This window comes from Homo sapiens, chromosome 2 (genome assembly GCF_000001405.40).
Source record: "Homo sapiens chromosome 2, GRCh38.p14 Primary Assembly".
NCBI lineage: Eukaryota > Metazoa > Chordata > Mammalia > Primates > Hominidae > Homo > Homo sapiens.
The window spans coordinates 220,085,399-220,102,217 of NC_000002.12; the positions used below are offsets into that span (position 1 = coordinate 220,085,399).

At 41.9% G+C, this 16,819-nt stretch overlaps 1 long non-coding RNA gene across 1 annotated transcript in view; it reads left to right on the forward strand.

The window, feature by feature from the left end:
- LOC105373893 (uncharacterized) overlaps positions 1-16,819 on the forward strand; it is a 428,255-nt gene that overhangs the window by 17,687 nt on the left and 393,749 nt on the right. The gene's annotated exons all lie outside the window — the stretch shown is intronic.

Sequence of the window (16,819 nt, forward strand, 5' to 3'; positions counted from 1 at the left end):
GGCTGTCACATAGTAGGCACTCAATAGATATTTATTGGATAAATCAAGGAAAGCCAGGCATTTCCAATTTACAGCATTATTACTTTCATTTTAGAAAGGAGATAACTAAGGTCTAAGGAGGTTAAAACACTCATGTACATTGAGTGATCACTGCCTACCAGGCACGGTTTTCAGCACTCTGCTTAGTGTGCAGAACAGTGTCTGCTGCTTGCTTGATTCATTTCACCTTGAAGCAACCCTATGAGGTGGTTATTATCTTTATCCCCATTTTACAGAAGGGAACATCAAAATACAGAACTCCTGGTAGCAAAATGAGGAAGATCTATTTGCATCATAGCTAGGGTTGGTCCCTGACAACTTTGTAAGAAAAGGAAAGCCAATTACACGCTGAATTTGTCTTCCTCTAAGGACTGACAGGCAATTGGCTAACTGCTCTCAAACCAAATGAGCTAAGGAATTAATGACTTAAGTATTCTACTAGGGTCCTATGCATTTTAAAAGGATTCCTGGTGGATACTGCTTAACTAAAAGGATAGCTCTCCTTGTGGAAATACCAGGGTCTGTAGCAGGCGGGGGGGGAAAGATTCACAGTGTGACCTCACCCTTCCTGATGTCACATCAGAGAAGATCAGTCCCCAACTCTCCTAGGTGAAGACATTTGGCCTTGCTTGAGGCTATGCTTGTATCACTCTCTGCCTAGGTGAAAATAACTCTTACAGGGGAAATTGTCTGAATTGCTTCATGGAGATGGACGAATGGCTTTAGGACTTTTGCTTTCTCCTGGGCTCCAGGAAGCATTTAGGAATCACATTCCCAGTCTCAAAATAGAGACAAAAACCTACTTTAATTCATTTAATTTACTTATTTATATCTCAGATTTTCCACAAAGGGAGTCAGCTAGAACCTATTTTTAATAGCTTTGAGGCAGCCTGGGATTGTGCAGAGAACGTCTGAGGTCAGACTGGCTGGAGTTTGACTTGTCTTGAATATAGTTGTCCTTGAACCCCAGCTCTACTTCTTTTTGTGTTTTAAGCTTTCTGATCCAAAATTTTCCCTTCTGTAAAATGGAGGTGAGGATTGCTAGTCTATATGTCGGACCGGGAGGATTAGAATAATATGTGTAAAGTGTCCAACTGAGAGTCTGGCAGATCTCAGATAAACATCAAAACTGTAGCTACAATTTTCAATTTAAAGGAATTTGCAAAGTCAAGTTTTTTGTTTTGCAATCTCAGTTCATTGCAGTCTCTGCCTCCCAGGTTCAAGCAATTCTCCTGCCTAACAGCCTCCCGAGTAGCTGTGATTACAGGCACCCGCCACCACACTCGGCTAATTTTTATATTTTTAGTAGAGACAGGGTTTCACCATGTTGGCCAGGCTGGTCTCGAACTCTTGAGCTTAAGTGATCTGCCCACCTTGGCCTCCCAAAGTACTGGGATTACAGGCCTGAGCCACCACACCCAGCCCGAAGTCAAGTTTTGGGGCCAGTAAATTCTCCTAAACTCTGCCCTTATTAAATTTATTAGGTTTTGCAAGGCTTTTAGAAGCATTGGTGTGTATTTGATATATGTGTTTTGTTTTTGCTTCCTCCTAATTCATTTCATATTATAATATTATGAAAAAAATGTGACTCATCTAATAGTCACATTAATCCTGGAGAATGCTTTTTAAAATTAGTATGTATCTTTCAATTATTTTTATATTTAAAAATCTTTACTTGTATTATATTTTCTCTCTTTAGCTACCCATAAAACCATAAAGATTTTATTTTATTGACAGTCATTTTCCTGGGACTGCAATTAGGACACATCTCTGAAAACATGATAATTGCCTTTGAAACTTTTAATGATGTGGAATAATTTTTATTTCTAACATTAGGGTTTTCAAATAGTATATGTAATAAAACAGCAAAGCTAAATAAGTATTACATAATTAAAAAAGGGCTCAGCATTTTGATATTTTGTTTATACCTAGTCAAAAATAGATTGAAGATTGAATATAAAGGGAAAAGGAAATATTGTACAATAAGATAATAATCTGCAGAGGGGTTGCATTGATACCTACCTGTCTTATTTATCCTTGTGTTCTCTGGTCCTAGCACACAGTAGGTGCTGAATAAATGTTGATTGCCTGAATAAGTGACTAGGTAGGAAAATTTTTATATCTTCATGTTGACCTGCATGGTTACAATACATCTTAAGCCCTTTGTTAAACTTTTCATTTGTTCCACAAACTATTATCAAGGGCCCATATGCCAAGTACTGAACCTGGGGATAAATTGATGAGCAAAACCAGGTATAATTCTTCTTTGCTCTCTTGGAGATTTCATTCTTATGAGGGCAAGCCATCACCTGGATAAGAATAAAATCACAACTGTTAAGTCACTGGTGCAATTTAAGAAAGGGACAAACTAGAGTGGTGGAGGGTAGAGGGTAAGTGTTAATGGCATGTGAGGGTTCTGGAGAGGTGGTCCGAGTACAGGCCCAACAAAGCCATTGTATGGACTGAATTATGTGCCCCTCAAATTCATATCTTGAAGCCCTCTCAATGTGGCTGTATATGAAGACAGGGTCTTTATGGAGATAACTAAGATTAGATGAGGTCATCAGGTCATTAATTCAACAGGACTGGTGTCCTTATAAGAAGAGAGAGAGACATCTGGATGCACACACACACACACACACACACACACACACACACACAGGAATTTATGTGAGGACACAGAAGTTGGTCATCTGCCAGCCAAGAAAAGAACCCTCACCAGACACCAACCCTGCTGCCCCTTTATCTTGGACTTCCAGCCTCCAGAACTGTGAGAAAAGAAATTTATGTGGTTTAAGCCATCCAGTGTGTGGTGTTTGTTATGGCACAAGGGGCAGACAAATATAGCCACATAGGCATCTTAAGGAATCTGGTTGCTACTCCAAGAGTAATTGGAAAATTCTGGAAGGTTTATATATATATATATATATATATATTTATTTATTTATTTATTTATTATACTTTAAGTTCTAGGGTACATGTGCACAATGTGCAGGTTTGTTACATATGTATACATGTGCCACGTTGGTGTGCTGCACCCATTAACTCATCATTTACATTAGGTATATCTCCTAATGCTGTCCCTCCCCCCTCCCCCCACCCCACAACAGGCCCGGGTGTGTGATGTTCCCCTTCCTCTTGCTCAGGCTGGAGTGCAGTGGCGCGGTCTCAGATCTCAGCTCACTGCAAGCTCCGCCTCCCGGGTTCACGCCATTCTCCTGCCTCAGCCTCCAGAGTAGCTGGGACTATAGGCGCCCGCTACCACGCCTGGCTATTTTTTTTGTATATTTTAGTAGAGAGGGGGTTTCACCCTCTTAGCAAGGATAGTCTCGATCTCCTGACCTCGTGATCTGCCCGCCTCGGCCTCCCAAAGTGCTGGGATTACAGGCGTGTGTCTGGATGGTTTTTAAACAGAGGTAGCGTGATCAGTTTTGTATTTTGGAAAGATTACTCTGGCAAGAGTATGAAAAAGCAATTGGGAGGAAATCAGAGAAAATGTGGGTCCTTATGGGGTGAAAAAAAATCTCAGAAAAACCAATTTGGAGTCTATTTCTCTTTCCATTATGCTGTTCAGAGTTGGGTCTCAAACATCTCTTCCAGGGTGGATTCCGGGACAAATGATCAAAAATGAGCGTAAAGCCCCATGGTGTGGTCACCAATAATGGCTCCTGTAGTTTATGGAAATCTCTTCCTTGGCTTCTCTCATATCAGACCAGGCAGAAAACATCTCACAGGAAGACAGGGGATGTTGGTGAAAATGTGCCTCATCTGCAGTGCTCCTGGTAGGCCTGGCTCCTTTCTCTCTGCCTCTGAGGTTATTTTTGGTTGAATTCACAGACCAGTAAGAGAAGGGGAGAAAAGTAAATGGACTTCAAAGCAGAATTGCTGCAAGATACCTTCCTTGTCCAGCCGTCCCACCTTCTTTCCAGCTATCTCAGTGTTTGTGATGGTTAATACTGAGTATCATCTTGATTGGATTGAAGGATACAAAGTATTAATCCTGGGTATGTCTGTGTGGGTGTTGCCTAAAGAGATTAAAATTGGAGTCAGTGGGCTGGGGAAAGTAGATCCACCCTTGATCTGGTGGGCACAATCTAATCTGCATCCAGCGAATATAAAGCAGGCAGAAAAACATGAAAAGGAAAGATGGGCATAGCCTCCCAGCCAACGTCTTTCTCCCGAGCTGGATGCTTCCTGCCCTCAACCCTGGACTCCAAGTTCTTCAGTTTTGGGACCCAGCCTGGCTCTCCTGGCCCCTCAGCTTGCAGACAGCCTATTGTGGGACCTTGTGATCATGTAAGTTCATACTTAATAAACTCCCCTTTATATATATATATATATATATATATATATATATATACACACACACACACACACACGTATATGTGTATCTCCTATTAATTCTGTCCCTTTAAGAGAACCCTGAGCAATACAGTGTTTCATCCCCAACCAACATTTCTGATACCCTAAAAGCAACTTTGATGAAAAAATTACCTATAAAATTGGTGTAACTGCTATCTATTGTAATCACTAGGTAAAATAAGCAGAAAATTGATTAGAAAGTTTGATGGGTAGTTTTAAAGAGCGCACGTTTTTCTTTCCTTTTTAAGCTTAAGATTCTGTAGATTGACAATTTCAGCTGGGTTCAGCTAGATGGCTCTGCTATATGTGGACACGGGGCTGGCTAGTCTTGTCTGGGGCAAAAGTCTGTGTCTGGAGTCTGCAGCTGGGTCAGCTTAGGGGCTGCTGATCATTTGCTCGTTGTCTCAATTCTGCTTCGTGTCATCTCTCTCATCTTTCAGCAGGGCAGCCTGGGAGAGAAGGCAAGCCCAATGAGCAAGCATTTTTCAAACTTCCCCTTAGGGCACACTTGCTAATCTGGCCAAAGCAAACTATGAGGGCAGCCAGAATTAAGGGGTAGAGAAACAGACTCCACTTCTTGATGGGAATTGCTGCAAGGGAACATTGTAAAGGGATGAGGAAACAGGGAGGGGATCATTTATGGCTGGTTTTACGGTTAAGCTCACCCTCCAGCTTCTGTCATTCTCAGTGCGATGTGGACAAATTTTGCCATGTTCACATACCATCCCTATTTAGTTTTAAAAGCATCAACTGTAACTTAAAAACAAAAGCCGTTCTAGCCTCATACTAAGCAATATTATCTGTGAAATCACAGACTTAATGGGCTAGTTATTGTTAATTAGTTGAATGGTGTCCCCCCAAAATTTATATGTTGAAGTCCTAACCTCCACTACCTCCAAATTTGACTTTATTTGGAAGTAGGGTCATTGTAGATGTAATTAGTTAAGATGGGGTCATACTGAAGTAGGATGGGTCCCCGATCCAATGTGACTGGTGCCCTTATAAGAAGACGGAGAATGCCATGTGATGACAAAGTCAGAGATTTAGAGTTACGCATCTGTGAGCCAATTAATGCCAAAGATTGCAGGCAGATGCCAAAGCCTGGAAAAGACAAGGAAAGATTCCCCTTCAGGTTTCAGAGGAAGCATGGCCTGCTGTCACCTTGATTTCAAATTCTTAGCATCCAGACCTGTGAACCAATAGATTTTTGTTTATTTGAGCTGCCTAATTTGTGGTACATTTTCATAGCAGTCCTAGAAAGTGAATACAGTTATTTTTAAAGATAAAATATTAAGCAAAACCATATGAAGTTGCCACTTTTTAAAAAATGTTTGAACAACAGCAGTGTCACAGTAAAATAAATAACTACTTGGTTATTAAGAAAGTTTGTGGACTACCTAAATTTATCTTGTATACAATCACTGATATATCACTATACTTTTGAAGATGTTGATTTAAAATGTTCTATTCAAAGATAAAGCATTTAAATTTCCTGGGAAGGTCAGGCTGTAGTTAACATTTCTCCCATACAATACTGTCTTTCCTTGTTTTACGCACTTGGGTAAGGATTAGAATAAAAATCTTTAGAATTCATTTGCAAATGCTCTAAACCTGGCTATTTTTTTTTTTTAGTACCAAAGTTAATTTTTTTAAAACACATAAATTGGCCTCTGACCTTGAGATATTAGAAAATCAAGGAGTAAATTTTCTAAAATAGACAAAATGTGCCATTTGGCTGCGAAATAAAATATGTGAATTGAATCAAGTTCCCTTCATTGAGGCAGTCCAAATTAACTTGTAACTACTTTAGTAGAATTAGATCCCAGTTACTTTTGCATGGAAATAATAAAAAAAAAAAAGAAATCTAAAATTTCTGAATCTTGCAAATACTAGCTAATTAGGAGACTTTATCTGTCATGATTATTTTGAGCAACTGATCATTTCCATCAATCAACCAAGCAACCCTGATAAGCCAATCATTTTTTAATCGATGTTGAGCCACTGAAAAGTTGCCATAGATACCAAATTCTACAGCCATCACAACAGAAAGTAAGGTTAGAATTGGAAGTGACAGGTGTATTCATCACATAGTTAACAAGCCTTTGAAGGGAAAGAGAGAGTTTGTCAGAGTCCTTAGGCTGGGTATAAAAGATTGCAAAGAACACTCAAACAATTCCCAAAGAGCACTTCAAAAGAAGGGAGAAGAATCCGGTTTTCATTAGAAATGCAGGAAGATGTTTGCCTGAAATTCAAGCTGTAAGTAACAAGTTCCTTGAAGTCTTGCTTGGCTGTCATTTACCCGGGGTCACCAGCAAGTTATCTTAAGAGTGGAGAGTTTCCTTTTTGTTTCCTTTCCTTTCTACATCAAAAGTAAATAAGGATGGTTGAGAGCGTGGGGCGGTAATAACTATAGAATGCAGTCCTGATTGCACTGTATATAAATGTGGAAATTTGAAAGTATATGCATTTATATAGATATAGATGCCCATATGTGTGTAGACATATATATGTATATTTACTTGTTAATACTTTTAGAATCAAAAAGTAGAACCAAGAAATATATTTTGAGAGTCACTGTACATAAGCCAGTATATATTACTAGTAAAAATATTGCATGTCTAGAACATTGGGAAATAGATAAAAAAGGAAAGGACTCACTTCAGGTGAAAAAAACTTAATGTATTTCAAAAGTATAGCACACAACTTCCTTTGGGGCGGGCGAGGCAAACTGGCTTCTCATCCTCGTTACGCACATCAGCAGTGGGACTATGTGGAAACACAGGGTTATCCTCAGGCTCCAGGAATGAGCACTGGAGAGAAGCAGTCAGGAGAATAGAGTTCCCACCCTGGCTTTGCCATTTACTCAGTGTAAATGCAAGTTTCTCTAAGACTGTGCAAACCAGGAGGGGAGGGGGGTCTGCCTAGATTGCTAAAGACTTCATCTTGCTCTAACATTCTTTGAGTCTGGGGTTATTTGTATCTATGCTACACAGCCAGCTGTGGCTTACAGGGACCCCTGTGTGGTTTGCACATCATGTCTAATCATCGGCTCCCATCCGCTTCCTAACACTGTGTCCCGGGGATCCCTGCACACCATTTTGGTTTCATGTTCCTAAAATGCTCCCTAACATTTGGGCACCATAAAAAGAAATCAGTTGAAACAGTTTGATAAATAAAGGAACGTAGGTCTGAATAAGTTCCTGAAGGGCACGCAGTGATCTGGGTGTGGAACCAAAGCAGGACGAGGCTCTGTTCCTCCCCTAGGAGGGTGGTTTCTCTGGGTTGCTCTCTCTGGGGAGCAGAATCTTGACTTTCATGCCCACTTGTTCAAGCATTTTGTTTTTCTCTCCTCTATGGTACCTGGAGGAAGAATTTTATTTGGAACTCTGTTATAACTACCAAAATGTCAAGGGAGGAGAAGCAAATCCATATCATGGCATAAACAGTTTACCAAGTAGTCTGTCTGTCTGTCTACCTACCTACCTACCTATTTCTCTCTCTCTCTCTCTCTCTCTCTATTGTCTGTTTGTCTAGCTAATCTATCTTTTCATCTATTTATCTTTCTATTTATTATCTATACCATCCAATATCTGTCATCTATTTATCTAAACTTATATATAAATTAGTAACCCAGTGTGAGTCTGATATTAAGTACCTCTAATATTCCCTCTTCTTTTTTTCTATATCTCAGGTCATGGCTATGATCAAAATCAATGCATGATGAGTAGTGACTTCTTTCTTGCTTGTATGTGTGTCACTTAAAAAATTCCTATGTTTCAGTCCTCTCCTGTCCTCAACACAGTCAATGGTTTAATGCCTTGCAAATGTATTAATGCCTTACATACCAGCATTTCTAATCTACATAAATGGATTTTTTTATAGATCTCATTCTGTTTCTTGCTTTTTTTTTTTTTTTTCCAGATTGAGTCTCTTTCTATCACCCAGGCTGGAGTGCAGTGGTGTGATCTTGGCTCACTGTAACCTTCACCTCCTGGGTTCAAGCGATTCTCATGCCTCAGCTTCCCTAGCAGCTGGACTACAGTCGTGCACCATTACTCCTGGCTAATTTTTGTATTTTTAGTAGAGACAGGGTTTTGCCATGTTACCCAGGGTAGTCTCAAACTCCTGGCCTCGAGTGATCTGCCCACCTTGGCCTCCCGAAGTGCTGGAAGTACAGTGTGAGCCACGATGCCCAGCCTGTTCCTTGTATTTTTATTCACCAAGCACTATACAGATCCACCCTTATTGCTGTGTGTCTTCATCTTTTTGATTTGATATTCATTCAGTAAAATATTCATTGAGAATATACTATGTGCCAGGAACTGTTCTTAACTGGAAGATACAGTGATGAACTCTGAAAATAAGATCTTTACTCTCTTGGAACCTACATTTTACCGGGAAGAAACAGACAATAAACAAGTTAACACACAAACAGTATAATTTTGGGGAGTGATCAGAATAATCACTGTGAACAGAATAAAAGATGGGGAGATGATGATGCCTGCAGGTCTACAGTAGATGTGGGGATGGGTCAAGGTTGCTCTAAGGAGGTCATATTTGAGTTGTGACCTGGGGGAAGATCATTCCAGGCAGAGGGTAAAGCAGTGTGGTGTTTACAAAAGACTTATATGTTCAGAAGCAGAACTTGGTAACCCATTGAGTGAGTGGTGAACCCCTGAGGCAGGAGTGGTTAAATACACTCTGATGTACTTTGAGCTGCTTTGGTCCTTTGTGTCCTTTCCTGGGCTTGATGTGAGGTGTGGGTATGAGTGGACAATAGGCAGCAGCCACGGGACAGTCATTGAGTTGTCAAACACTCTTCCTTGATCACAATGAATGGTTCTTCTTTTTCTGTCCTTCCCTCCTTCCCTTTCTTCCTCCCCCGCTTTCTTCCTCCCCTCTTTCTTCCTCCCTCCCTCCCTTTCTTCCTCCCTCCCTTTCTCCCTCCCTCCCTTTCTTCCTCCCTCCCTTTCTTCCTCCCTCCCTTTCTTCCTCCCTCCCTTTCTTCCTCCCTCCCTGCCTATATTTAATATTTTTGATGTGCTGGGCACATTGCTAAGGGAGCACACTGGTCAGCATAGTCCTTACCCCCACGGAGCTTAGACTCCAAACATTTCTTCTTTTGCATTACATCTGAGGATGTCCTATTTCCTCCCTATCCTTCAAAAGCTGAAAGATAATGGGAGGAATAACATACTCCCTTCTTCTCCATGTTTCCCAACAGGGAAACCCCTCTTCATCGCCACCTTCTCTTGTCCTGGTCATTGCTCAAGGTTTGCAATCTGTCAAAGGCTATTCAGAAGGATTTTATTTAGTTTTTTGCTAGAGCCGTTCACAAACAAATACAAAAAATTACATTTACTAAAAAATAAAATGAAAAATCCAGCTGAGTTTCACAACATTAAGAGATGCTAATCATGAGTCCAGTAAACAAAAATGTATGTTGGAAGAAAGATCTTGTGTTCTGTCAGCACAGAGGACAGTACCTGATGAATACAAACAGCGACCTCTCTAAGGATGCGCTGGGACTAAATGGTCATTTGTAAGAGAGTTGTTAAGGAGGCTGGGTATGTCCTGTGAACACGGGTCCTGTGGCGTTGTATCTTGACCCTAACCACAAACCACTGGTTAACTCAGAGAATACTTAATAAGTTGTCCAGGTTGCCCAGTTGCACTCTGAAACCTAGCCAATGCCTAACAGTGTCCAAAGGCATTCCCCCTCAAGATCATTCCCTCAGCCGTTGTTCTGGTTCACGATCTCCTCTCTCTTACCTGCATCCCCCCAATAACGTCCTCACTGGTCTTTTTTGCCTCTGTCCTAGGTACCTCATCTGTATCACAGCCACCTAGAATGAGATTTCTAAAATGCAAATCTGATTACCGCCCCACACCCCTCACTCCCCCAAACTCAGCCAATGGTTCCTTGTTGCCTGCAGAGTGAGAGTAGACTCCTAATCGGGATTCAGGGTCTGCATGGTTGCTGTGTCACTCACCTTTTGAGTGAGTCTACTTCGCCTTGCTCTTTCTTCTGTGGCTCCCTGCATCTGCTCTGCTCCTTCAGGCCTTGGGTTTGTACCTTTGCTCATGTCGCTCCTCTTCTCGGAACACCCATCCTTCCCTCGGCTGTTTGGAGATTGCTTTTCTTCAGAATTTCAATCAGGAGTTCTCTCTTTCTCAGTTAATCTTCCCACTCCTGGGAGTCATCTGTTTCTCTTCTGTAAGCATCATCCCAGTGTCTTGCACTTATTTGATTGTATGTTTCTCTCCCCAGTTGGATGTGGAGCTCCTCGAAGCCAGGAACTATTCTTACTCATTTGAATCTTGAGGTCTCGGTGCAGCAAAGGTGGTCAACAAGTATTTACATAGATGAATGTGTTCCTAATCATGATGCTGGGACCCGAAATAAGGGCTAGGAATGAGATTCCACATACTCACTCCAGGGGCAAAGACTTGAAGTGGGCTCTGGGATGAGGAGCACAGTGATGGCTTAGGACAGGCTGGGCTTGACTCTGAGTGGTCAGTGCGTATGCAGGTGTGCGTGTGCGTGTGTGTGTGTGTGTGTGTGTGTGTGAGAGAGAGCGAGGGAGAGTTCTCATCGTCTGAACCCTAGGGTTTGTGCACAAGAGTTAAGAGAAATAAGCCTGGAAAGTTAGGTTGAGGTCTCAAACGCCAGACTAAGGCATTTTTGCTACTCTCTCTGCAATGAGGAATGCCAAATGTTGTTTGAACCTGGAAATGACATAATCCCAAAGGCACTCACTTGGGATTGACACACTGCAAAAAGCACTTTGGGACACTAATTAGCCCTATGCGGCTGGTTTGATGCTGGGGAGAGTGCAAGCAGGAGACTAGTTTGAGGATGACTGGGATAGACTAGGGATGATCTGATAGGAATCTAAAGTGCAGAAGTGTCAGTAGGAATGGAAGACAAGGCCTTACAGAGTTTGTCCTGATCATCAGGCTGTATCTAATATGGACTCTGTGAAATGTTTGACATGCCTTGAAATATTTTATCAGTGGCCCATGTCTTTGGGCTGCTTTAGAGCTCTTCCAGGGTGAGCTTATGACTGCTGGCTCTCCAAAGCAAAGCAGAGTCAGGAGTGAGGAGGATAGAGCTGAAGTTTGCATCTGAGGAGAGGGTGACTCACCTGAGGATGGGTGACCTTTCCTCCTAATTCGAGATGGAGATACATTGTTTTATATTGAGGCTAACAAGAATTTTGTGATCAGCAGGACTTCTTCACTCAAATTCACATCTCACTGGGCATGAAGACAACATCCACAATTAGGCTTGATGTATAGGCTTCAACTGCTCAAATGTGGATAGTGTAAGCTAATGCCATCCTCACGTGAGATGAGCTCTACCTCTCAACTTTGGTGACTGCAGAACCCTGATAATATCTTTACATTAACTCTATACCTAAAAGCAGAGTAGGGGCACTTAATGTCAGAGACTCTTAGAGGTCTTCTTTAGCTGCTAATTACATCCAAGTCCTAAATGCTGATGGATAAATTGACATGAATGATCAACAAAAAAGCAAAAATGTTTGGAAGAAGTAACATATTGGCTTACATTTCCATTGAGGTGTGAAGGCTAGGACACCCCTCATGCCTGGCCCCATTCCTCCTTGCCCACCATATACTGCTGTGGCACAGCTTCATGGAGGTGTGCCCTGAGAGAACCTTGCCCAGATACCCTGTGCATTTCTCATTTGCTTCTCTGGAGCTTCTCTGATGATGAGGTTTAGGACACTCTAGGAGCCCACTCAACATTTAGGCATGTATTGCCTGGAAATGTGCGTGAGTTATTGTCTGATGGGGAGATCCTTGCCAATGGGGGTCAGGCGCTGCTGTTAAGTACTGTCTTTTGTCCCTCAGGTGGACAGTTCTGAGGGACATTCTTCACAGAGTAAGCCCTAGTTTCTGTAGTTGTGCCCAGCTCAAGGATATAATGTATTGACCTGCCTTTCTTCCCAGTTTCATTCTTCAATCCCTTTCTCCTATTCCTTGGGAACACCTCTAAAAATAAACCACTGGCATGTGAGCTTGTGTCTCAGGCTCTTCTTTGTGATGGGCAGGGAATCAAGTCAATCCCAGGACGAAGGGGTTATCCTTTCCTGCAAGTGGGTTTATTAGAAGTGGTGGCTGGAAGGACAACGTCAGGACTTAGTCTATTTAGACCTCCACGCCATGTCATAGGCTTAACCGTGTTGTGAACATGTCTTCACCATGTTTGCAGAAGGAACTGGGCAAGAAAATGTGTGTTCCATGTCTTTTTGGACAAAGCAATTCAATCAAGCTGAAATATCTGCCACCATAGGCCTTGCTGGAGAATAATCATGTCAGCATGCTTAACTTGTGACCAGAGTCAATGATGATGGTGAGAGATAGAGATACCATTGGGCTTTGGCTTCTTGCTCAAAGGGCTTTTTAAAAGGCTAATTGATGTTTTTGGTGTTTGTTCTCACCATGCAATTGTCTTCTTACACTGTAGCAAATTTTCCCTCAATAATGAATGCATCTAAATATAAAAGGACCATTTGGATTTTCTGGTATATATTTTATTTTCATAATTCTCTTTCTTCCATTTCTGCTCCTTTTTTTCCTCTTGTTTCTCTTTCTCTTTCTCATCCTTCCTGTGGCTAGGAGCTCAGTGCCCTGGGTATCTCTGACCCTCTAGAGGGTCAATGCTTGATCTCATATCATGGAGCCATGATACCTGCTACATCCCCGATCACCTTCCACCATGTTTCCAGTGCATGTGCTCTGTCACTCCCTCCTGGCTTCTGTCCTGAGTTCCCTCCACACCCACTACCTCCAATCTCCACTGGTAGAAATAAGACAGATGTAAAAACCTCTGGGCCCTCTATTACCATCCAAAATATTTGTTTGCTTCTCACATCCCCATGTGGGTTTCTGACAGCCAACTGAGTATCCTTTCTCAGGAGGAAAAGTCCCAAGCAGTTCCAAGCAGAGAGTGAAAAGGAATATGAAGCCACTTTTATGGCCAAGTCTCAGAAAAAGCCCAGCTCTTAGCTTAGCTAGGCTAGACTGGCACATTTAACTGCTCCCAGCCCCCTACCTGGAGGATCAGAACCTGGGAGTGGTTATCCTCATTGCCTCACATAAGGACTCTAGTTTTGGCCTCCCATCCTCTGCTATGAACCCCAGATCACTTCTGCCAACTTGTGCCTGGCATTCCCTGTTCAGCCCATCCTCTTTGGATGGTGACTTATTCAGATAATGAGGGTGACACTCCCACTGGCAGAGACCCTTACCCTCCACGTGACTGCTGCCCTTCCCTGGGCTGGGATGTTGAACAGATGAAGAAGCACATGGAGAAGAAGAGTTGACGTCTTAGCCCTGCAGTCCTTATGGCTATCTCCAGGACTACTCTTAAGGTGCTATTGAAACCAAAGGCTTTCCCAACTTACCATTGAACTTGCTCTGACCTAGATTAGTGTTGAATCTTTGCTTAGCAGGGACAGGTGTTCAGTCCCCTGCAGGAGGAATCATCATGCAGATGGGGGTGAGCATGGACCTCAAGTGACTGGGAAGAAGTCACAGGCCCAACAGCAGGACTATGTTTTTATGAGCACAGAGGTTAACCCAGGCCATGGAAGAAGACAAGGTTAGCCATCATTCATGGTTAAGCAGATGAAGGTTCCAAAAGGAAGAGGTTCTGGGCCTCCAGCCAAACAAGGCTTCTTCACCCACTGATCAAGGGCTGTGCTTCTGGCATTTGGGTTTCTTCTCATGCTATCTTCTATTTTACGTCTTTAGAATTGCATCGTGTGATGTTCATGAGGAATGATCTTCTCAGGAGAGTGAAACTCTTTCCTTTGGTTCATGTAAAAGTGGATAAAGCAGACAGTGATTTTCTGTTGTTCTCTAGTTACACCTAGGTCCTGAATCTTGATAGGTTGCCCATAGCAATAGGGCTGGCTTGGCCACAGATGAGTGGTTTGGGAGAAGATCAAGGATAGAGAAGATGATGAATTGCATTGTGTGAGCAGAACTCCCATCACTCTGAGTGAAGTTGATAGATTAGGACACCACTTCTTAAAGTGTGGGCCCCAGACCCTCAGATGCACCTCACCTGGGACCATGTTAGAAATGCAGTTTGGGGGCATTGCACCATAGCTACTTAATCAGAAACTCTGGGGGTGAGATCTATCTAGCAATCTTTTTTTTTTTTTTTTTTTTTTAAGATAAGGTCTCGCTCTGTTACCCAGGCTGGAGGGCAGTGATGTGATCTTGGCTCACTGCAACCTCTACCTTCCAGGTTCAAGTGATTCTTGTGCCTCAGCCACCCGAGTAGTTGGGATTACGGTATACACCACCATGCCTGGCTAATTTTTGTATTTTTAGTACAGACTGGGTTTTGCCATGTTGGCCAGGCTGGTCTCGAACTCCTGGCTTCACATGATCTGCCTGCCTTAACCTCCCAAAGTGCTGGGATTATAGGCATAAGCCACCGCACCGGGCCATAGCAATGATCATCTAATGAGTCCTCCAGGTGATTCTGATGCCTGGCAAAGTTTGAGAACCACTGAATTCAAGGGACTTGACCAGGGACTCTCAAAGTTGGCTGCCTGATTAAATTACTGAGTTATCTGGGAAAGTGGTTAGAAATCTCAATTCTCCAGGTGGCAACCCAGAATAATTAAATTGAAATCTCTGAGGATGGAACCCAGTCATCAGTATTTTTTTTCTTTTTTTTTTTTTTAATTATACTTTAAGTTCTAGGGTACATGTGCACAAAGTACAGGTTTGATACACAGGTATACATGTGCCATGTTGGTTTGCTGCACCCATCAGTATTTTTTAAAAGCTCCCCATGTGATACCAATGAGCAGCCAAAGTTGAGAATCACTGGCCTAGGTCCTAGGGAAAGGGAACGTTAATGAGCTGAAAGTGTTTCTACCTGACCACATCTTTTGCTTCTCCATCTCTCCAAACTCAGGGAGAAGAAAGAGCTTTAAAAATGCCCTCACATTGGATAATGTATTTCTTGTATATCAATTTTATGACAGTCTAAGTATGCATATGCTAATCACTTGTCATAATTTCCTTTCTTCCTGAAGTGTGTGTCCCTTGCTAGGCTATAGGCTGGCTCAAGCACTTTTTTTCCTAATACTAGCCTGGCTCTTGGAGCTAAACATGTACTATAGAGGCCCTTGGATTAGGTGCCTCCATCTTGCAAACTAAGGAATTCCCAAAATTCTCTTTTCTGTTTTGAAAATACCTTTGGACTTCATTTGAGATAGTCCTGAGAATTTATAAAATTGAGTTCTGCTCAGAAGAGCATCACTGTAATATTTGGCCCTCTTTGGGGCCCCTCTTAATTTTGTAACTGAGTTTGTAGACAGAAAAAGGGAGAATTTAGAAAGGTTTTTGTCTTTAAATTTGAAAATGACTAGGTCATGAGCACATAGTTTAAAGGGGTCTTCCTCTGGGAAGCTTTCAAAATCATAGCCTGTCAGCGCATGAAGCGGCCTTGAGAACATCCTTTCACACTCCCTCATTTTAGAGATCTGGCAACCAAGGCCCAAGGAGGGTTCATATTCGCCCCAAATCACACAGCAAATTAGCGGCAGAATCAATCCCAGAAAACAGATCTCTCAACTCCCAGTTGGGTGCTGCTACCCTGGTACATCATGCTGCCTCGTATATTTTAAATTTTTTTTTTTTTTGTAACATGGGCTTTATCCTCTCTTCCTCGCTAAGGATTTTTATTAAGGATGCCTGTTTTATTTTTAAGTGGCTGATAGAATTCATCAATTAGGTAATTGAGATGGTTCTGAGGATACATTAAGTCATTTTTATATATGCTGGAAAATGAGTCTGTAAAAGTATAATGCAGGGTAATGAGATGTCAAAAGTCATGGAAATGAGAGGATCTGAGTATAATCGTGGAGACTCTGAAATAGGCTTTGGAATTTTCCAGGATTTTTGGAGCACTTTTATTGTTTATATTTTCTCGGTTGTATAGTAATTGACATGAAAAGCCCAAATAGCCATATTTTTCCATTTGAGCCCATGGTTCAGAACACCGAGGATCTTTTTAGAGGATTTTAACTATTTACCACACTTTTAATGAGAAAAAAAGGTTCAAAAATTCCTTTATTTACTTTTTCACATGTTTTATATTTTCTGGATTTCTTAGTGGCAGCTGTAAAAAGGGATTTTCATGTGATCATTTCATTCAGTAATTTGTCTAAACCGAGGCCTTTTCCTTTTTTTTTTTTTTAATGCATGCCCAGCTGTCACTGTTGCCTGCTAAAGTGATTTTTCTCTATTATGTTGTCACTTTACACTCCCATAGGGTCCAATCCTGCAAGCCGTACATGCATGGAACTTGCATTAAAGTCATGGGAAGCTTTAACATGTGAGAATGTGTGTTCGGGGCCCAGAG